The sequence below is a fragment of the Homo sapiens genome, chromosome 8 (assembly GCF_000001405.40).
Source record: "Homo sapiens chromosome 8, GRCh38.p14 Primary Assembly".
In the NCBI taxonomy this organism is placed as follows: domain Eukaryota; kingdom Metazoa; phylum Chordata; class Mammalia; order Primates; family Hominidae; genus Homo; species Homo sapiens.
The window spans coordinates 32,644,414-32,667,212 of record NC_000008.11 but is presented as its reverse complement, the minus strand read 5'-3'; the positions used below and the strand labels follow the sequence as shown (position 1 = coordinate 32,667,212).

General features: G+C 37.7%; 2 protein-coding genes across 27 annotated transcripts in view, besides 1 other annotated feature; both read right to left on the bottom strand.

The window, feature by feature from the left end:
- NRG1 (neuregulin 1) overlaps positions 1-22,799 on the bottom strand; it is a 1,134,802-nt gene that overhangs the window by 106,834 nt on the left and 1,005,169 nt on the right. For 4 of the 26 annotated variants that reach the window (NM_001322206.2, NM_001322205.2, NM_001322207.2 and 1 more), the window contains exon 1: positions 18,829-20,124. The exons of the other annotated variants lie outside the window; for them this stretch is intronic. In NM_001322206.2, the coding sequence (NP_001309135.1) occupies positions 18,829-19,495 (667 nt within the window). In that variant the 5' untranslated portion in view covers positions 19,496-20,124. Of the gene's footprint in view, positions 1-18,828; positions 20,125-22,799 lie in introns of those variants that run through there. 26 annotated transcript variants of the gene reach the window in all.
- Positions 19,762-20,363: an enhancer, noted in NCBI's record as "NANOG-H3K4me1 hESC enhancer chr8:32504369-32504970 (GRCh37/hg19 assembly coordinates)". NCBI's record gives its function as "activates a minimal SCP1, AML or CMV promoter by ChIP-STARR-seq in primed H9 embryonic stem cells {active_cell/tissue: H9 hESC(primed)}" and the evidence as "EXISTENCE:reporter gene assay evidence [ECO:0000049][PMID:30033119]".
- Positions 19,823-20,011, bottom strand: LOC128092250 (uncharacterized). Its single transcript, NM_001414935.1, has one exon. The coding sequence runs from the start codon at positions 20,009-20,011 to the stop codon at positions 19,823-19,825; it is 189 nt and encodes a 62-aa protein (NP_001401864.1).

Genomic DNA, 22,799 nt, shown 5'->3' with positions numbered 1-22,799 from the left:
ATATAAATACTTACGATTGTGTTACAATTGCCTATACTACTTAGTACAGTAACATACTTGCACAGTTTGTAGCCTAGGAGCAAAAGATTCTATCGATTAGCCTAGGTGTGTAGTTGGCTATACCATCAAGGCTTGTGTTAAGTCACTCTATGATGTTCGTACAGCGATGAAATGGTCCAATGACGTATTTCTTAGAACATATCCTTGTCATTAAGTGACGTATGACTGTATATATAATGGAATATTATTCAGTCTTAAAAATGAAGGACATTCTGATGCATGTTGCAATACACGTGAACTTTGAGGGCACTGTGCTAAGTGAAATAAGCCAGTCACATGAGACAAATAACGCATGATTCCACTTATATGATGTTTCACAGAAACACAAAGTAGAATGGTGGTTGCCAGGGACTGGAGGGTGGGGAAAACCAGGAGTTGTTGTTCAATGGGTACAGAGTTTCATGTTTGCAAGATGACAAAGTCTGGAGCTCTTTCTCACAACAATGTGAACACATCTGACACTACCAAACTGTACGCCTAACAATGGCTAAGACAGCAAATTTCATGGTATGCATATTTTACCACGATGAATCAAAAACAGACTGAACAACAGCCACATAGAATTTGCATGCTGATTCCAGTGCATCTCCTGCATGAAATCAGTTCCAGACAAAATGGAAGTGATACAATAGGGCCAGGGAACCACGCTCTTTTTTTTCCCCCTCTTGAAAAATATTAAAATGCTGCTTCTATTTGCAAGTTTGAAAATGAAAGGCAAAATTCAATGGATCTAAATGGAATCTTTTCATATATACAGTTTCCAGAAGGGTTTTTCACTTCAGTTATTGGTTCAGTTCCATTTCTTCTTCTACAAGGAGGGCCTCATAGGGCAGGGTCTGAAGCGGTGAAGCACAATCAGGTTTCTGATTTCTGCCTACATTCCCACATTCATCTGAACATGTGATTCTGAAGTCTGTCTGCAAAGGAGTGCCTACAAGTTTATATATTCACTATACTTAAAGAAGAAGTAAGCAGAACAAAAATCTAAGTTCCAGGCCAAAATGGAAAAATGTAGCCTTCTCTTTTAAACTACTGCTTTGGACGTGAAGGAATCTGGGTGCAAATGCAAAAGAATTGCTCATAAAAGAAGTGTCCCTCAAGAAACACAAGATCAGACAGCAGCAGCAAGAAGTAATGGAAACTGGAATTCTTGCATACTGAATGAGCTTTAATTAAAATAGGAATGCATCTTTGAATTATGTTAAAATAGCATACTCACTAATTATATTAAAATAGCCTACTAATTTTTTTCTTTTCATACATTGTTTTAATCACTAGAAGTATTTTCACTACTTTTAAAATTCAGATTCTAAAAATAAGCTGTTGATATTAACTAAGTATCACTGTTCTAAATACACAACTAAAGAAGAAAATGTTTTTAATGTTAATTATTTACATCTGCAACCACGTATGCTTGATACACGTCTAATATCAATGGCTTGTTTTTGAGCAGCACAAGTGGAAATTGTACAAGTAGAAATTGCACCCTTTCATTTAGCAGCTTTGACACACTGAAAATAAGCACCAATACACTGATTGCCTCTTTAATCTTGAACTATTCCTTTCCCTGGAACATAGTGCATACATCACCAAAATTACATGGATGAAAGAGCTACAAATTGAGTATGCCATTATTAATAGCCTGCCAAAATCTTATATTAACTGCTGGACATCAGAATTCATATTTTGAACAAACTGAATGGACTAACTTGTGGAATGTAATGAACACACAGCTCTTCTTTGAATACTCCATGAATAAACAGGAAAAAATTAACAGCAACAATTTTGTAGGGGAAATATTTTTACCTCTTTTTGTAATAATTGTACAATTAAAAGCTTGAGAATACACATGTAGCAGCACTAATATAAAAGAATCTGTAATATTAAGTAGGATGCCATGGATATACTATGCAGAGACTATGTACTAGAACAGGCTAAATATAAATTCAATATGAAATTTCACTTGTAATTTCCATACAGAAATAAATCTTAGTACATAAATTACCAGTGCCTATTAAAGGGAACACACACTCGAAAAGAGGTTTCATTCATCAGCAACAAACAATGAATAATGTCAAAAAGTAAAGTAAAAATGTCTTTTAAGTTCTGTATTCTATCAATTTTAATTTTTGTATAACATCAGGGGAAGAACAATTAATATTATTTAACTGAGCAGCTTCATCAGGAAGAAGTAATGAATGTTTTCTGGAAATTGGAGCACAAGTCACTTCCTGTCATAAATCTACTGATTTTGCACATTAATAAATACATAAAGACTTAGGAGAACCCAATAAATACATGTTGAATAAATGTATGAGGTTGTCACTCAGAGATTCATTAATCTAACAACCGCTAAATTACTAATGTGCATGGAATCGTTTCCTTCCTTCTCCGCATTCAATTAGTTCAGTGGTATTCCTTCCTCATAGTCTTCCTTAGACTCATGCATGGCATCCCATTTCCTTCTGCACCATTCAGATTGTCACTATCATCACCATCTTCATCATCATCATCATCATCATCATCATTTCTACACCATCAGTTTATTTCCAAAAAGGAACAATGTTTTTTTTGTGTGTGTGAGGATTAGACAATACATGCAAAGCACTGAACACACAATACGTGCTTAATAAATGTTCGCTATCAGCAAATTCCTTCATACTGACTCAACTGGCCGACTCACCATGCACTTAACATGTCTGTTTCCCTTGGGCCTTTACTCCCACCTGAAATAACCACACCCATCAGAATCATATGTTACTCTCAAGGCCCACCTCAACTATCCATGCAATATGAAGATGCCTCTGATTCTCTTCCTTCTTAGCCTTATTCCTTTTTGGTTTTTTTTTTTCACCTCAAACTAAAGGATTTTTTCTTCATACATCTCATATACTACCTTATACTCCAGTTAATGGCAAGGCTTTTATGTCTTTGATGAAACCAAGCTCCTGGAAGACAGAAACTAGCTCTTTCTGTCTCTCTCAATTCTACTACTCTGAACCCAGGGCCTTGTAGAGAACAAGTGCTTAATCTGTTTTTCTAGGTATGAGGAGGTAAATAAAACCAAAGATGAGACTTAAAACCTAATTCATAATATAAAACACACATGACTGAATCAAACACCTATGTGGTAGGATGGATGTTTAAATACACACATGAGTATTAAAGATGATTCGAGCTGCTGGAATAGAGACTAAGGAGGAAAGTTTAATGATGACCACAGAGTATAGGAAATGTCTCTAAAGAAGAGTGGAACCTGATCAAGACTTTGCATAGTAGGTAAAATTTGAGAAGCAGAGGAGGACAGGGATGTAAAGAGACTGCAGGCACGGGCTGAACTGAGTACTTGGTATTTGCAGGAATATGTGACCATCACTTCTGCAACAGGAGCCTTCACCCTGTCTAGAGTACTAGAATATGAGAAAAATGAAGTAGACTGTCTAGAACTTTTCCTGCTTCTCCTCTCTTGATAACCTCCTTTTTGCTGCTTTTTACTTTCCAGAAAGTGAAGTAGAGAAGATATAATATGTGGAACAAAAAATAGTTGGCACCTTGGCAACTTGACGAGTAATTTGAGAAGTAAAATAAGCATTTACACTACTTTTGCTGTGTATTTTCATCATAAATATAGAAAATTGACAGCTTAATAGAGAAAGGAGAAAAACCTCTACCTGGGACATGCAAGTACTTCAAAGTCTTAGAGCTTATAGTATACATGGTGCTATGTGAAGCATCTGTACATGGATAAAAGAAATGCTTGACCTTGAGGAATACATGCATGTCAGCAGAGTACATGGGAAACGGGTGGAAAATACTGGATACTGTCAAAGCCTAGAGGAAAGAGAGGAAAGTACTTAGCTCACCTTAGGGATAAAGTGCACATTTCTAAGATGAGTAGACTTCTGAAATAAAGTTTAAAAGATGACTGAAAGTGAGCTGAGAGGGATGGGGCAATATGCTTTAGATAAACTGAACAACTTGAACCAGGTTTGAATGCTGAACAAGATGAATTAAAAAGAAACCATAAAATAGGAATAAAGTGGTTTGTTGGAAGCCTATTCTACATCCCCCTGGGACTTCATTCCATCATCACGTGTTGTGGGTTCTGGATAGTGTTACCGAGTAGTCTAGGCAGACATCCTCAATTTCACTGCAACTTTTCTTTTGTATTTATAAGGATCTCTAGTCACACATAAAGCCGTATTGATTTACAGGAGGCTCTCAGGCATATCTCGCTTTATTTTTATGAGAAGGTAATGTCCACAGTTCTAATTTTGATAAGAACCTTGATTTATTTGGCACCTATGCATTGGGAGACTGAGCAAAATGATCTTTAGATCATCTCCATCTCAGTTGGTGATAACCGTATCCTTTCAACTACTTAGACTGAAATCAGCCTTGACTCCTCTCACTCAAATCCCATATCCAATTCATCATTACATCATTCTAAATCTATCTTCAAAATATATTCAGAATCTAATAATCCAATAATGTCTTTACATTCCCTCCTACAACTCCTACAAACACATCTGGATTACAGCAACAATCTCCTCAGTGGTCCGACTATTTCCACCGGGATCTTGGGATCCTTCTCCACAAGCTATTCTCAACACAGCAGGCAGTGATCCCATTAAAACCTAAGGCATCAAGTCCCATGGTCACTCAAAACTCTGCAATAATTCCTCATCTCTTTCGGTGGAAAAGCCATCATTCTTACAATGAATGGCATGCTTCCCTGATCAGGCCTTCATCACCTCTCTGATCTCATTTAATACCTCCTGCCTCCCATGCTACACTTAAGCCATTGGCTTAAGTTGACTACACTGGCCTTCTGCCTGGGCAGTAAGGCCTTTTCCCAGAGTCTGGAACATTCTTCCATATGGCCATATGGTTAACTCCATTAATTCATTCAAGCCTTTCATCAGCTGTTACTTTTTCAAAGAAGCCTTTCCTGACCATTCTGTTTATGTATTTCTTAAGGGTATTTTTGAAATTTTATTTCTTATTGATACATAAGAGATGTACACACTTTTGGGGGTACATGTGATAATTTAATACATCCATATAATTTATAAAGATCAAATCAGTATAACTGGGATATGCATCATCTTAAATATTTGTTTTTTCTTTATGCTAGGACATTCAAATTATTCTCTTATAACTGTTTTGAAACATGCAATAGACTCTTAGAAACGATGGTCACCCTACTAATCTATCAAACACTAGGTGTTATTTCTTCTATCAGACTGTATGTTTGTACCTTTTAATCTATTTAAAATAACTATGCTCCTCCACCAGTACTCTGATCTCCTCACACTTATTTTCCCCATATGATGTACTGCCTGCTAAGATAGTATATGATTTCTGGTTTATTATTCTTTTGTTTGTTCTCCTTTTAGAGGTAAACTCTTCTCTATTGAGCAGGCACTCAATAAAGAATATAGAACAACAGAAAAAATAAAGTCTTCCACCATTAAAGAATTATCTAATTTATAAGAAGCAGCATGGGATATTGAAAAAAAAAAAAAGCCCTAAATGAAGTGGCATTCCTGTTTTTTAGACCAGCCCGTGTTTCTTACTAGCTGCATGTATTTAAGACCCAGTCATTTCACAATTCTGGATCTTAGTTTCCCCATGAGTAAAGTAAAATATTTTGATTAGGTTATCTACAAGATCTCTCTGTTTTTAAAATGTTAATGGCTCTTCTGTGATCTTGTTTAATAACACTGAGATACTTCCAAATCACTGTTATCTTATCAATGACAGGACCCATCATCGCATTAATTTATTGAGTGCATCTGGATAATGAGTAGATTTCTGTCTTGGTAAAATGATAGCATTGCAGAATTCAAAGCCTTTGCAACAGTTCTTCAACAACTAAGATAAGTTACTTTTCTCCTTGTGAATTTGTCCACCATTTTATGACAGAATAAGAAGTTACAGCAATAAATTCAGATATACACATATATGATTGTCCATGTCAATGTCAACAGATGGCATTTTGCCAGAGAGGGCAGCATTTTTATTCAAACCATCCATGTCGCTCTATTTCTGACTGACAGGTAGATTGATGATTATCCTTTTCTGTTCTCCTAAATCCTGAGAACAATGCAGGTATGATGGTAACACATAAATCACACAGAGGAAAAACCACATGAACAAACCAAACCAAAATAAATAGTAGCACATCCATAGCTGTGTCAATAGGTCCCTTGGAATTCCTGGCCCTTTCCTGAAGCCTGTTATTGTAATCACAAGCTATCAAACTTGAAATCTAAGGAAATGCACTTTAATTGTTAAAACTGCCTAGTAACGACAGCTCATGCTTATATAGCGCTATGAGCCAGAGACTATTCCAAACACTTTATGAACACCAACTCATTTGATCCTCACAAAAAGCCCCTGAGGAAAGTATAGTTATTGCCACCATTTCACAGATGAGAAAATCGGGGCACAGATAGTTCATAGTGTGCATGCTGTCACACAGCCGGAGACAGGGCTGGGACTTAAAGCCAGACAATCTGGTTCCAAAGTGTGTGCTCTTAATCACCATACTATCATGAAATAAAATTCTTTGCTGCCTGAAGTCTCTTAAACTCCATGATGTGAATTTTTTAAATCACGTCCGACTTTGCAAATTATATGTTAAAATGTCCAAAAGCATGTCTCAACAAAGTTTGTAATGACTAAACTCTATATTGAATTCTTCAAAATTAAAATGTCAGTGATTTAAGACCCGGTTTCAGATTATTTTCTTCCTCTTCCACTCCCATAAGCAAGTTACCCTCAGTGTAACTTTTATTCCATAAATATACGAATGAGATACCTACTTCATATAAAATATAGGTTGAGTATCCCTTATCCAAAAGGCTTAGGGCCAGAAGTGTTTTGGATTTTGGAATGTTTGCATTATAGTTACCACTGAGCATCTCCAAACTGAAAATCCAAAATCTAAAATGTTCCAACGAGCATTTCCATTGAACATCATGGTGATGCTCAAAAAGTTTTGGATTTTTGGAGCATTTCAGATTTCAAATTTTCATATTTGGGATGCTCAACCTGTACACTGTTTGGTACTATACAGGTCATAAAAATGAGTTAGCTATAACTCTGGGCCTTAGGAAATGGTCAGTCTACTATGAGCAATAAGCAAGCATCCAAATAAGAACACACAAATCTAAATGTGATAAAGCACAAGCAATAGGTTATGGGGGGTTGGAGGAGGTCTTCAAGAAGAGGGGTCCCATCATCTAATTTGGAGAGGTGAGTCTTGAGGCCTAAGTAGAATTTGGGAGAGGAGAGACTGTTTGAAGAGCACATTTATAGTAGAAAAAATAGAATGAGCAAAAACATGGAAGAGAAAAAATAATATTCAGGGTCGAGTTCTAGTTGGCTAAAACATGGTCCATCGGGATGAAGACTGGGGAGACAGCTGGAGTTAGGGAAGACAGGAAGTTTGGGGTTCTGCTGCAGGCGTGTCTTCAATATCACAAGAGAGTTTATGAGATACGTGCTTTGTAAATATTGGTGCTATGGTGTCCTCAAGAAATGAAAATAAAAGTAATTTGTGCTTTATAAATCATAAGGTTTCACAATAAATTTCAAAACAGATCCCATGAAGCCCACTGACTAATTTAGTAGTGCTCATACATTCAAAAAACAATTTCCAATTAGGTGCATGATCAAGGTCTAAAGATTTATAGCTGGCTGGCCACGGTGGGTCACGGCTATAATCCCAGCACACTGGGAGGCCAAGGTGGGCAGATCACCTGAGATCAGGAGTTCAAGGCCAGCCTGGCCAACATGGTGAAACCCTGTCTCTAATAAAAACAACAACAAAAACTTAGCCAGGCATGATAGTGCATGCCTGTAGCCCCAGCACTCGGGAGAATGAGGCAGGAGAATGGTTTAACCCAGGAGGTGGAGGTTGCGGTGAGCCAAGGCTACGCCACTGTACTCCAGCCTGGGCAACAGAGCAAGACTCTGTCTCAAAAAAAAAAAAAAAAGAAAAGAAAAGAAAAGATTTATTACTGCCATTCTACATATTATGAAAGGAGGAACAAGTGAACAAATAAAACATCTAGGAATTAAACTCAGCTCCCCTAAATCTGCGCTATAAATCCAAGGACCATCAGAACCAAGTAGTTACTCTTCCTCTTCATTTGTCATTCACCTCTCATCCTTGAACTCTGTTGATCCAGAACAGAGCAAGAGTGACATATAAGCAAAATATGTCACCAAAACATGTCACCAAAATGTATGCATTTCCTCAAGGAGAGAATCTCACTCAGAGAGATTTTATCCTTTATATAAATGTTTAATACAAATGTTTAACCTGATTAAAATTTGCCTTTTAAACCTGCAGGAGACCAGAACTATACATCAGAAGTGCAGAAAAAATGTTTCAATTAACATACACTGGTTGCAAAGTGACCTGGTAGCTGAAAGCCTAGAAGAGATGAAAATATCAACATTTTCTGGCTCTATGTGGTCTCTGGCAAGAAGGTTAACATCTTTGGGCTTGTCTCTCTGTGATAAAATAAGAGATTTGGTTCAAAGTGTCTCTAAGGTGGCTTAAAGCTCTGTAATGCTAATTTTGATTATGTAATAACCCAAAATACAATCAGAACATACGTAGGTCTGGGTTATTTAGTAAAAGAGCTAGAATCCCTAATACAACTCAGTATGTCCTAACGAAATAACAGGGGTCAACAAAGTTATAACATAACCCAACTATGTCCTAAAGACATCACAGTATTCAACATTGTGAAGATCCTATATTCAATAAATCCCATTTAAAATGACAGTAGTCACTAGTATTGTAAGTTATTAAAAGATTTCAATCCAAAATAGATAAAAAAGTTTCAAGGTGACAAATCATCAGCTATTCAGAAAACTCAGCAATCTTGAAGAATGAATTTTGCAAGGATTTTGAGAATCCTTGTATTGATCCCACTGATTACATGTATAGTTTACTAAATAGGCAGCGGCTATGTAGGTTATTGACTGTGTACCACAGGTTCCATAGTTCAGATCAATTAAGATTATAAGGATCATATTCATGCAAGACTAAAGTTACTGGTCAGGGGTTAATTTAGATGTCTCCCTGTTATCGTGGAAGTAGGAAGATTTAAAAAAACTGAAGTAATTATTTTACATATTTTTGTTTGTTTTTGATGTCAACTGAAGCTTTTATAGATTACATGACATTATTTTTTCTCTTCCTTTTGAAGAATCATAGGAGTTGCTTGATGGGAAAAACTGTGAAATTCAGCTTGCTTTAAAGATTATAGTAAAAAGAGATCAGAGTAGTAACCCTGAACTCTGCCACTAATCATTCTTAAGATTTGCTTTGTAGGCAGTACTTAGCATCATGTAACAATCAATGGTTACTGATTCCTTTTGCTCCCAGAAGAGCAAGCAATTATGACCCAGGAAGCTCTACCAAGGGATTACAAACAAATGCTAACAAGAGTTCAATTCTACTATCCTTAGATCATTCCATTTATGTATGGAGCTTTTATTGCTGTGACACCAACATATTTCATAAAACAATTACTTCCTGTTACTTAGCAAAGGAAGAGGCAACACTGAAAGTCATCAGGCTAATCATGGTCAAGACTGTGGTTAAGGTCTCATTCACTCTCTCCCACTAACCATCCAGTGAGAAACCACAGGTCTGGGCCATCTACTCTATAACCTCTGATGCTTTAGGACACTGGCTTCAGAGCAGGGTGGGAGAGAGAAGTGTGGAGCCATGTGCCCTGAGATCGCTGGAGAAGAAGGAATAGGTGGGGTATGAAAGAATAGAGGAAAGAGAAGAGTAACTGTGAATGGCAAGTATGAAAGAAACAAAGGGAGGGAAAAGGAAGGTAAACGGGGGAAACAAAATTATATTACATTGTACACCAATACAGGCAACACAGTTAGGAACTGGAAGATATAGGGTCTTCTGCTTGCCTATGAATTAAGTTTCTTCCTAATGGCAACTATCATTGTCTTCAGTGTTGCTCTCATCTTTCTTCCAAATGCATATGCATATATGTACATTTGGTTTAATTTTAAATTAATAACTTTTAAACTAAAATAAATTATGAAGATTTTTACATTTGATAATTACATGCATATTAAATTCTGTGCTAACTCTGGCTTCAAAGAGAGTTCATGAATTTCTCCTTTGGCTGGGAGACAACCACCTCATGAAATGCAACTCAAACACTAAGTGCCTATCACTGAAAATCACAGTAAATCAAGTCTTGTCCTATCATGTTTCTGATGAAAAATTTAAAATATTTTACCTGAGGAAGCTTTCCATTTTATTTCACCAAGTTTTATTGGGTCCATCAGCTTATTTCCATTGTACAGTCAGAAAACTTATACCCAGGCAAAACATACTCTAGATTGTTATCAAATATTTTATGCTTCGAAGGGGCTGCCTCATTGCTCCAGTATTGATTTAGAGTTCAATTTCTGCAGCAAAGGTATTATACTTGAGTGAATAACAATCAAGATGAACAAAGGATCTCACATATTTCTAGTTCTACTTTAAAGAATAAATAAAAATACATATATTATGCCCACTACTATACATTTTTGTAAATGGCAAGCTCTTACAAACTTATATCTGTCTGTTAGAAAAACCATAAGGTATACAACAAAAATACCAAAATCCCTTAAGTGTGTATATCTAGAACAGCACTGGCTTCTTCCCTTTTTGTAGGATTCTGGCCAATAATCCAGCTAGTAAGATTTCATTTTAAGTTACTTGCAACAGAATCTCCAATATATACTTAAGCTCCAATTATTTTTTACTTTTAAAACACTTTTTTTTCTCTTTTACTCTAGCAGTTAGGCATAGGGCTAGAAGTTTTTTTGTCCACCCCTCCCAAACCTATTAATAAACAACCTGTTTGTCCAAATTTAAAAATATTTTTATCTGCTCATTTTATTGTCAAATAATTTTCCCCTTTATTTAGAATATTATATGTATGAATTATATGTATGTATGTATACACACATAGATACACATAGATGTAGTATACTCAAAGAATTTCTACATTTGATTTGGCTCATATAAAATTATTTGATGTATATTATTTCCATGGTTTTTGTCAAATGCTGAAAACAACTCATAGACGTTAATTCCCATCTTTTGAGATCAGGAAATCCCAGTTTGGAACAATAAAAAGAGTAAGGTGAACATAATCTTAGGATTCATGGTATTTCTAGCCAAGTTCTTCCCCTGCACCACATCTAAACTGTATAGATTGTTTTCCGTTGTCCCAATCTTTCCAAAAACAGTACTTACTTGACAAACACAATTTTACATACCATGCAGTCTTTTCCTCTCTCAAAAGTAACTCCTTATCGCTTTCCCTATAATGAAGCCCCTCATGCAGTGATTTTTGGACATTACTCAAAAAGTAATAATCTATGTAACTCAAAGGTAATAATCTATGTATTCTAACCAATTTGTATAAGGGAAAAAATACTCCTTTTATGACACTGGGCTCAAGAAATTAGTAAAGTCCTACAGACCATTTTAAGGCATAACAAATTAATTCACTGGTAAAGAACCCCTACAATTTATTTCTAGAAATGTTAGCACTTGTGAATATATGCATACACGAACCCTGATAGAAAGGGCAAAGAAGGAATTCAATATATTTTTAAGCTCTGTTTTCTTTAGGTACAGTAACCACTTTTGTCCTTATCACAATCTCTTGAGAGTTTTAGATGTTAACATCCCCATTTGTTTGGATGTAAAACTAAATCTCAAGTGAAGTGATTTCCTCAAAGTCACACAGCATGCAAGAGGTAGAGCTGGTATTTGATCTCGAGTTTCTAGCATAATTCCTACTTTAGCATGATGTATCATCAACTCTTCACTTCCTTCAAAGTTTTTCATAAGGTTCCCCTAAAACCCCAAAATGTATTCTCCAGGCATTGTTACCAAACCACTGTCAAGATCAAAGGAGAAAAAGAACAAAGTGAGGCAGGGAGTTAAAATAGAATGAGGGACAAAATTGGTGCTGGTTTCATATTTTTTATGTCTCAGGCCTAGGACTTGGAGTTTTCCAAAACCTCATTTAATCTCCTAACAGCCTCAAGACATGTATATTATTATTATTATCACATTTAAATGAGGAAACAGATTTAACATGATGGTCTAACTTGCTCAAGGCCATGAAGAGGGACAAGTAGGATTGAAAGTCAAGTCTACCCACTGGAAAGCTAACACCCTGAGACAATAAACTGAGAGAACCAGAGTTGTAAGAGACTTCAGAAGTAAATATAGTTAATAATCTGCTAGGAACATAAATCTCCCTCAACAGTGTCACTGCTTGAATACTTTAAGCACTAAGGAACTAATTTCTTTCTAAGTATGTAACGCATTTCAGTTGGGATAACGTTGATCATTAAAACATTTTCTCATATATTATATTGTTGGGAGACAGATGTCCAGCCTCCGGAGGGGTGTCTTATACATATCAATATTATAAAGGTAAAATTATTTTTTTTTTGAGGCAGAGTCTGACTCTGTCACCCTGGCTGGAATGCAGTGGCACGATCTCGGCTCACTGCAACCTCCGCCTCCCAGGTTGAAGCGATTCTCCTTCCTCAGCCTCCCGAGTAGCTGGGATTATAGGCATGAACCCCCACCCCTGGCTAATTTTTGTATTTTTAGTAGACACAGGGTTTCACCATGTTGGCCAGGCTGGTCTGGAACTCCTGACCTCAGGTGATCCTCCCACCTTGGCCTCCCAAAATGCTGGGATTACAGGCGTAAGCCACCGCACCTGGCCAAAATTCTCTTCTCTAAAGAAGACATCTGCTATAGGGTGATAAAAGTTTTACTAATTAGTATTTAAATAATAAATGGGAAAACCAAATCTTTTAAATTATGATAACGTAACATATGCTACTTGAATAAATGCTAAAAACAGTTTTGAGAAGAAAAGCAAGTGTAGCAAAGGTAAGGATGACTTCAGTTTTAGTCTCAGCACTGCTACTGATTGGTTGTAGTGACACTGGGCAAGTCACTTCACTTTTCCAGACCTGCCTTTTCTCACTTAGGAAGTGACACAAATAATCTCTAAAAATGTTCAGCATATAAAATTCTATGATTATAAGATACTAGTTATATTATTCAGAAACACCCTTTGAATGTCTACACACACACACACACACACACGCATACACACGATAAAATTCACTGCAGTAAAGATTACAATCAGCTTTGAGATGATGAGGATTAACTTCACTCACTGCTAGTCAATCACTCTTCATGTGAATAGTATATGAACTCATGTCTTTATTCAGTTTAAGAACTAAACAACTTAATGGCAGATTCTAGTCTTTGTCCGTACAGTGAAATGAAAAACCCTTGGGAATATTTTAATACTCTTGATGTTATGCAAGCCAAAACAATACATAAAAATATGAGCAAAATATAGAAACAAAAATATTTACAGCTACCAACTCTCTAGAATCTGAAAATAATCTTAGAATCTTTATGTACATGCTAGAAGAATTATGTATATATTTTTCATCTTAAGAGGGTGCTCCTAAAGGGCCAGACAGATCAAATTTTTCTCACTACTCCAATGGTTTGATTAGATAGTGCCATATGGTGAATCACCCCTGGCTACTCAGCCTGTTGGTAGCAGAGGTGGGATTGCTGTCAGTTAAAGGACATTGCTGGGCAAGTGTTCAGTATTTGGTAGATGGAGAAGAAAACATATTAAGAAAAGACAGGAGTGGAAGTCAAAAGGTGAATAACATGACAGTAAAGAAGAAGAAATGCTGAATGAAGAGGGTATATGTATAAGAAAGCAAGAAATATCTCAAATTGCATTATGCAATTAGATTCTTAAAATCCACTAGAACATAAGCTCCCTGAGGGCAGGCACTCTACTGTTTTCCACTGTCATATAACCGGTCTAGAACAGAGTCTGGCACAGAGTAGGCACTTAGCGTACATTCACTGAATGAAAAACAAACAAACAAACAAACAAACAAAAAAAAACCAAAGAGGAAATAATAGAAGAAAAACAAAGCATTGATGTAGAGCAAAAGTAATAAAAGTAGAAACATGAGCATAAAAGTAGACGGAATGTAGTTTATGCTGTAGTAGAACGTTCAATGGACTCTGTGGACAAGTTATATTCCTGGTTCTCAGGGGCATCTAAACAAGTCATAACTTTTTATGCTTTGGTTTTTCAATCTATAAAATACCTCTTCCTTCATACTTTAAAAGGATACTATGAAGAGTTGTTAAAAGGAAGAGGGAAGGAGGAAGAACACAGATGTATGGTTTGGAACATCGTTTTCTGGGAGTACAGAAATGCTGATGTCCAAAAACAGAAAAACTGGAATCAAGCACACTAAAGAAAAAAAAGAGGAAAAGATCAAGAAGAAGGTAAAAATTTGATTTAATTATGTCATTAAGAAACTGGTATATTGGTCATTGGCTAGAGATTTTTTTTGTATGTTTGTAATATATGAAAGTGCCATTCAGCATTAAAATGCAATAAAGTTTCATTAAAGACAGTTGAAATTATTTTGATATGATGCAATGAAATACTGACCTATAAAGCCAAAATGACATAATTACAAAAATAAAAAAGAGTCAATACATAATTGGGAAGGTAGGAAGGAAAGGGGAGAAGAAGTCTGAGTTGGGTATCACAAAAGAATAGAGAGGAGAAAACAAAATGGGTTATGAAGAAAAGAAGTGAGCCACAGAGCAATCTGCTATATATGAGGGAAGAACTCACCCTAGGCAACCCATGCTGTTTTCAGAAGCAAGCTGAACAAAGTATGGATGATCTAATAAAAAGGGAAAAGACCACCACGACTGAAAATTTAATAAGAGCAAAACAGGAAGGCGAGAAGAAAATTTAATTTTAGTGATATGCACTAAACACACACCTGAACAGTGGTCCCACTTAAAGTACTTCCCTAATTCTCAGTCTGATGCTACATTCGTCTCTAGCTCCAACTCTCTACAGTAAGGATACGATGATAGAAGAAAACAGTAGAGAGAGAGAGTGTGTGTGTTTAAATTCTCAGAGACAGAGACATTTTCTAATACTTTGGATTTTGCCACATTTTTCAGAGTTTAGTATATTTTAATAAAAGAATTTCAATAGGCATTTCTGAGCCTGGGTTTCTTCATTGGTAAATTTATGAAATTATTCAGTTCCAATAGAAGATCTTTCAGTCTCTTCCAGTTTTTAATATTTTAGGCTGTAATCGGCTATGATTAAAGTGGGGAGAAGTTATTTAAAATCACTGTTCTGAAATACCTACAAACATAGTTACCAAGAACTAGAAGAAGGATGCATTAGAATTTAAATGAACGGCACTTTCAAATAGAAGGAAAGAAATCCTATGGTATATCCAACTCATCATGTTGATCTTTTGCAAATGGTTACTGATTCTTATTGTCACTGCGGTAACAATGGTTTGTCATACAATCCCATAATAAGACTTAGGACAAAGCAAAACAAAGTTGGCCCAAGATGAAAATACCAACACATTCTTGCATCCAAGAATCTGTTGTCAAGCAGGGAGGATCTCATATCCAGAAAACATTTTCTTTCAAGATGGTACCACTGTTTCCTGGCTATAATTTAATTAATCAGCTCTTTTTATGATAATCTAAGTTTGCAATCTCCCAACAGTCAGGGTAGGAAAAATTTTAAAGCCCAGACAAAACAAATGAATAGTGCAAGTATTATGTGACTCATTGAGAAGTAAAAACTTAATTAGTATCATGACAATATAATCATTGTGGTAGTGGGAAACCATTAACCATATTTAGAAATACTTTAGAATAAAAATATATACTTATATACTTTCATTCCAATTCTGCATTGGACTTCTTAAGACCTACATGAATGCATAGATTAATATCATGAAAATATGAAATATTACTTTATGAAAGAAATACCCATTTTAGAAAATTCGACATAGCCACTATACCTTAAGGCAATTTAAAATGTCATATTTTGCCTTTTATTATAACAAAGACAAAGAATGTTGTAATTTGACAAGAGTCAGTGAGGGAGTAATTCTAGTATTTATAAAATAAAACTCTAACATTAGTAGGTAGATTGGTTTGGGGAGCAACGCTGCAGACACAATTACTGGGATTGTCTCTCTTCTACTCTCTCAGGCTCCAGGATAAAGAAGAATCAATTAGCCTTCAACAGTCTATGACCTTGAAGGCTACAGCTCTGTGCATAATGTGCTGAATATGCTGAGACAGAAAAAAAAATGGAAACGGGAGAATAAAGTCCTAAAACCACTGAAGAGCATGTTTCACATATGATAATGTCATTTTCAAATATAAGCCATGACAGCTTAGTTTATGTCAAAAACATGCACGGGAAAAGGAACGTCCCAGTTCTTTCTGTGACTAAACAATACTTTCTTAGTTGAAAAATACAATCCCTTTGTAAGCTTTTTTTTTTTTTTTTTTTTTTTTTTGCTTTCCATTAATTAGTGGTTACAACCTTTTTAAACAACAACAAAAACAACCACTTACAAGTCTCTAAAAACAAAGCTGCCTGGACCAATCCCTTTCAAACACTACTCTCCCCACAACAACCTCTCCCCACCCCCAAAAAAAGTAGTCTCACAATTTTTACAATACAAGATTTGATGTTTTTTTAAGGAACTAGTCTAAAAAATTAACAGAGTTTCCTTATAGGTTTCAAAGTCTTAACCAACTAACTGTCTACCCCTAACTTTTCAGGAGAAAACTACTTCCCAGACTGCTTCTCTAGGCTTATCTCCGATGCACTTCAAAACGTTGCAGCTGTGCATCTGGTCAAACTGGCCACAATGATGCTTTTAGGCAGCAGTAAATCTTTCCCATTTATTGCAGATGCCACAATATCAATGCCCTGGCTTGGGGAAAAAAAAACTGATAAGGAATATGTAATCTACTAAAACACTTAGTAGAAAAATTTACTTTATAAAATAATTTATCAAAACTTCACAACATACTTTCTGACATGGTCTTAGATCAGGAAAATGTGTTAGATGTTTCTTTGTTTTCCTGATTTCCTCAGATGACAAAATTATAGAATTTAGTTGAAGTGTTTTTCAAAGGGCATTTTTTTCTTTCTCTGGACAATGAAACCTGTTCAAGCAGATTTCAATTAAAGACAAGTTTAAAATGATCAAGTAACCTTGTCCTCCTGGTGAATTTCGCTTCTTTTTGCAGGATCTGTACTTGCTTTTTATAGCCTGTCATTTCATCTGGGTATTATTTCCCAGTCACTTTGCCAGGTGGGAAGAGGCAGCAAAGGCAGTGATGTCTGTCAGACCTTTAATGATGCTTCAGGGATTTGATAAAGATACAAAGCAGCGTCTGCATGAAGGAGGTTTTCCCTAATTGCACCTAGAAAACAAGACTTTTTTTTTCTTTAAATCTTTGCCACTGAATCTGGTGTTCGTGAAATGATCGGGAGTTACAAGCACAAATCAAGTTTTTCTGTGTTTCTACAGCATGCTGCACTACTTCACACTGAACATGATGTCTGGAAAAGGTATTCTTTATTCTTCATTACTGTCCAGAGGAAAAACAAGAGGCATTTCGTCAGAGAAATTGTCAACTCTCTTTTAACCCTAAGAGCTTTCATGCAAGTTATTAAGAACCAAATTTTCTGATCTTGTACTTTTCTACTAAGTAAATATTCCTCATGGTAAAAAGTGATAGGAGATAGAGACAACAAAAATAAACTAGAAACATTTTTAAAAGGCTACAGAAAACTCCTCCCTTCTATATTGATATTTAGAACAGTCATGCTTTCATTCCTGTCAACTTTCCACTCTAAAGCTATTGCAATTACGCAATGCAAACAGGAATGTATTGTTTTTAAGAGCGTGGGCTCTCTGCACATCACAGGTTATTAAACTGGGCCGCTGCAATCTGCCAGACTAAGATGACATACATCAAAAAAAAAAAAAAAAAAAAAGATGTACCTCACTAATGGATCTTGTACTTTTTAACAACTGCCAAGGAAGCTATTTAAACATTTGATTATAGAAGACAAAACTAATTTGGGAAAATCCTTCATGCAGAATCCTACTGTGTCCTGGACAAAATAAAGCTGCCACTAGTAAGTGCTCACTAACTGAAAGTGCCATCTGGGCAGGACAGCAGTCGTCTCAAGCTAGTGAGAGGCTAGCACCGTAAATGTCTTAAGACTTGCTGTAATCTCAAAGAACCAATTAAGATACAAAAGTAGGGAGAAGTGGTTAGGGAACGGGAAGGAGAGAGAGACAACAGGCAGCTTGGGGTCGCTGAGAGGTAGAGGGTAACAGAGAGATGACAGGAAATCTATGATGGGGAAGAGAAAGACACAAAATAATACTCACTGGTATATGAAAGTCACATTTCTATAAAACATAAGAGATGGCGTGATGTTTTAATTTTAAAATGTGTTAGAAATAAATTGAATTTAACTTAAATTCAAGCATGACTTGCAGATGCTGAAGTTTTTCATTCCCGGTACCAGATTGAGCCATGTGGCTAGAGAGAGCTGCTGTTACAACACTGGTTCAGATCCGGAGTTTGCAAGATCATTTTACTCGGCCCTTCAATGCCATCCCAAGCATCTCAAACATAGGCTTTGCTTAAACAAAACCAGGCAACTAAAATGCAAGAAGAAAGGGAAATGTCCTTTGGGGACCTCAAACCCACCCCTTTTATTCATCATCATCATCGTCTCTCTCTCTCTCTCTACTTACAAAGTTTAGGAGCAGTTTGGAGATTAGTTTCTGTTGTTTGTGGCTGAGTTGCTGACTTGGGCGTTCTCACCTCAGGGTTCCGGGTGGGTGAAGGGAAGGATGGCGCAGTGGACGGCAAGAAAGAAAAGGCAAAAATACGATTCTTCGGTGTCGGTGCCGCTGATGGTTCAAAGGAGACAACAGCCTTGTCACCTTGCACTGTAACTTGAACCTCACTTTCAGATTGAGCCCTAGAGACAGGTGAAGTGTATGCCTCAGACGACACCCACACAGCTGAGGCAGCAGTTGCGTCCAGAGAAATAATAGGGTCCTGGCCTAACCCCCCAGGGTCAAGGTGAGTAGGAGAGTCATATTCAAAGATCTTGTCCACAAATACCCACTTGAGGCCGGCGATGCAGAGGCAGAGGCTGACCAGGCAAGCCAGGATGGGGACAATGCAGATTTTCTCTGAGTTGAGGCAACCTCTCAGGCGCTCAGCTTCTAGGCACGCACAGCAGGGCACGGCCAGGCCCACGAGTCCAGGGGTTCTCCCATCTTCAGTCTGGGGCTCTGGCATGTCTTCTGCTGCCGGAAGCCCATCAAGAGATGGGTCTGCACTCAGCTGAGTGGAGGGGCTGGAGGACCTCTCGGCGGCGACCTCAGACATGTCTGGGGAATAAATCTCCATCGGCTCACCTCCAGAAGAAGGCCTGGCCGCTCTCACGGTCCATTACCACGCAGAGGCCCCCCCAACCAAATGATACAGCATCTTACAGGGGGAAATCGATAAATCGTCCAAGTCCAAGGCCATTATTAAAATCAAGAAGAGTTCAGAAAGATGCAAGGGGGGAAGAAAAGCTCCTAGCAACTACAAAATCAAAGTATATCGTAATAATTCTTTAAGCTGCTGTTTCTGGGCCACTTTTCTAGTTCTTTTAAATGCTACTCCAAACCATCCCGGGCTCGTCAAGAGGACAGGGACGAAAATAGATCGACGGAGCTGCCGGCTGATTAATTAAGTAAACCAGTAGCCCAAACTGAAAGGCATGTTTCTCACCTCGAGCATCTGAAGCTGGTGTCTGCTCAGATGAAGAAAACAACTGTCATGCAGGAGAAGTAAAAGCAGAAGGAGGACCAGCGGCGGTGGCGGCGGCGGCAGCAGCAGCGGCGGCAGGAGAGGCAGTAGTGACAATAGCAACAGCATCCTGTTGTGTTAACGCGACGACGGCTGAAAGGGGCTGAATCATTACAGAGCAGCAGGTGCCTGCCCTCGGAGCATCACTGCAAACAGGATCAGAGGGCTCCGGAGGCAAGAGTGCAGCCAGGAGGGGCGGTCACTCCCTTCCCCGCCCTGCCTCCACCCCACCCCCGACTACTCCTCTTTGTCCTTCTTGAGTGCTCATTCACTTTCTTCCTCTGCGGCTCTTCTCTGCTTCAGTCTCTTTCTCTTTCTTTCCCTTCTTCATCCAAGCCCGTCCTCTCTCCTCTCTCTCTTTCCTCCCCCTCTCCCAACCCCCACTCCCCGCTCTCTACCCACACTCTAGAGCTGCAGGCTGGTCTGAGTAAAATCAGTATCCCCAGCCACACAGGACTGCCAGTGACTTCCTATTTTATCCAATTAGAAGGAATAAAGGCCATCAAATCAAAGAGAGGCAGGCAGGCATCAGTTAAGCCTAGTCCCCATGGCCCCCACCCGTTTTCCTCCTTTTTCTTTCTTTCTCTACAAAAGCTGTCCCAGTCTTCTTCCACCCCCACCTTGCCAGCTTTCAGTCTCTTTCCTTCACCCACTGTTGGGTCAGAGAAAGCCAGCGATCGATGCTAGCAATCTAACAAAGCTGGGATGGGGATGGGGTGGGGGGTGGTGTAGGTGGGACCTTATGGGTTGGACCTGAGGCTTGAAGTCTGCTATCTGATTCCTCCCTAGAGAGGTAAGCTTTTCAACAGCAATTTCTTCCTGCCTGCTGCTGAGAGATAGCATTCCTTCCCTAGCCCTCTAATAAGTTTTGTTCACTAAGAGGACTGTTATTACCTGATTTTCAACCAACAGTTTGAACATTTTTTTCCTAACCATGGACAGCTCTGCCTTTAGCCCTTTTTGCAATGACTATGTAAGACTTTGTTTGTCATGCCCAGGGAGAAATGCTGAGTACAGGCTGGAGGAAGGGAGTGCTAGGGGAGGGGTTGGCAGCCCATATATCCCCTGCTGTGGTCCCCTTTGAATTTCCATTTATTCTATCTCACCCAAAGAAGACTAATAATGTCAAGCTAATAGGAAGCACCAGTAAGTAACAGAGTTATGATGCGAGCAAAGCTACCACTTCATTTTTAGATTAGCCTTTCATGGTGACTCCACACTGCAGAGGTTTGGATTCCCTGGCACTGTAATATATACCACATGTCCTCAGCTATCACCGCACTGAAAGTACTAAGAAGAGTTTTCTATGAGAGCATGCCTTTTGGGTTAGGTTTCAGGAGCTTTACCTTTCAGTAGTTTCAATGCTGACTGTTTTTTTCTTTTAAAACAACAGTCATTAAAACACTAGAAGAAATGCACTGTTCTTAATACAGACCACAGGCTTCCCCAAGCACTGTGCTGCACATCACTGCACACAATATGCATCTGAACCTGTAATCCACACTTACTGTGATTGGACATCTAAACGGTTTCCAAGGAACCATTTTGTTCACTTATGTCAATAGGAGTCTGTAAAACTCTCTCTAAATCTATACTACATAGCCATCATATGAGTCCCTGAAGCAGTAAAATTTAGAATTCAAGTCCTGAGAAAATCCGCTTTAAGCACATTATATTTTGTAGGGCACAATCTCCACTACTTTGAGGTATGTTTCAGCTTTAAACGGCAGGAGATAAGAATATTATCACTTCTTCCTTCAAGATGAAATTAGTCCATAATTATACATGATTTAAAGGGTCTTAACATCTTAAACTGTGTTTGCAGTACTATAACTAACAACAACAAAAGCCTGTGCCAATTTGCATAAATGTAACCATGACTATGACAAGTTTATGAGCAACATGAGTTATCCTTGAGTTCATCTCTCTATAATCTGCACAGTAAATGGTGTTTAAAAATAATTCCTATGCTTATTTTCTAGGTTTATTTGACTTCAAAGCAGTGAGACCTCTCTTACAAAGATTCTAGCAAAGGACATACAATTTCACGGTGTAGAAAACATCTATTGAAGCATTTAAAGCATTCAAATTGAAAGATAGTAAGATCTCAATGATCAATATTCATGTAAATATTCAGAAACAATATCAGCAGGTGTTTATGCTAAACTAGGGTAATTTATGATTTCTTCAAAAAGCACCCAGTTGAAATATACGGCACTGAATTCCCCAATTTTGACCTAAACCAAAACTATTATACTCAATACACCAGCATTTCATCCAAGGCCAAGGTCAGCTAAATTTCAAAGACCAAAATGGGGTTCAGGTGGCCTCAAGTCAGGCAGATAGGAGAAAATACCAAGCATGATAACCCATAGTTTAGAAAAGTGGTCTTTAACTTACACCAAGAGCAATTATTCACCTTACCTCAACCATTAAGAGCAAACATATTCAGCAGAAAAAAAAAAAAAAGTTACTGGGCATTGCTCTAGCTGTTACACTGAAAATACCCAACACTTACAGAGAAAACCAACATTTTATACAAAGACTAGGACAACACATCAGAGAGAGAATCCTATGGACTGCCACAAGTACTCTTTCCCTTGGACTACATGAGCCAGACTTTGGGATGTGTCTGTTTTTCCCCCAAAAGTCATTCCACCTTGGTGCTAAGACTAATCTGCAGACAGCCAGCTTCCTATAACATTGCTTTTTTTCCGCCAAATTGGAAAAAGAATGTAAATGGGGAAATGGAGAAGGATGGGAGGTGAAGAATAAAAGAATTCTCCATTAGTTCTACCCTTGGGACTAGGACCCAGAAGTTGCCTTTCTGCCTTCATCAAATCCTCTATAGCAATAA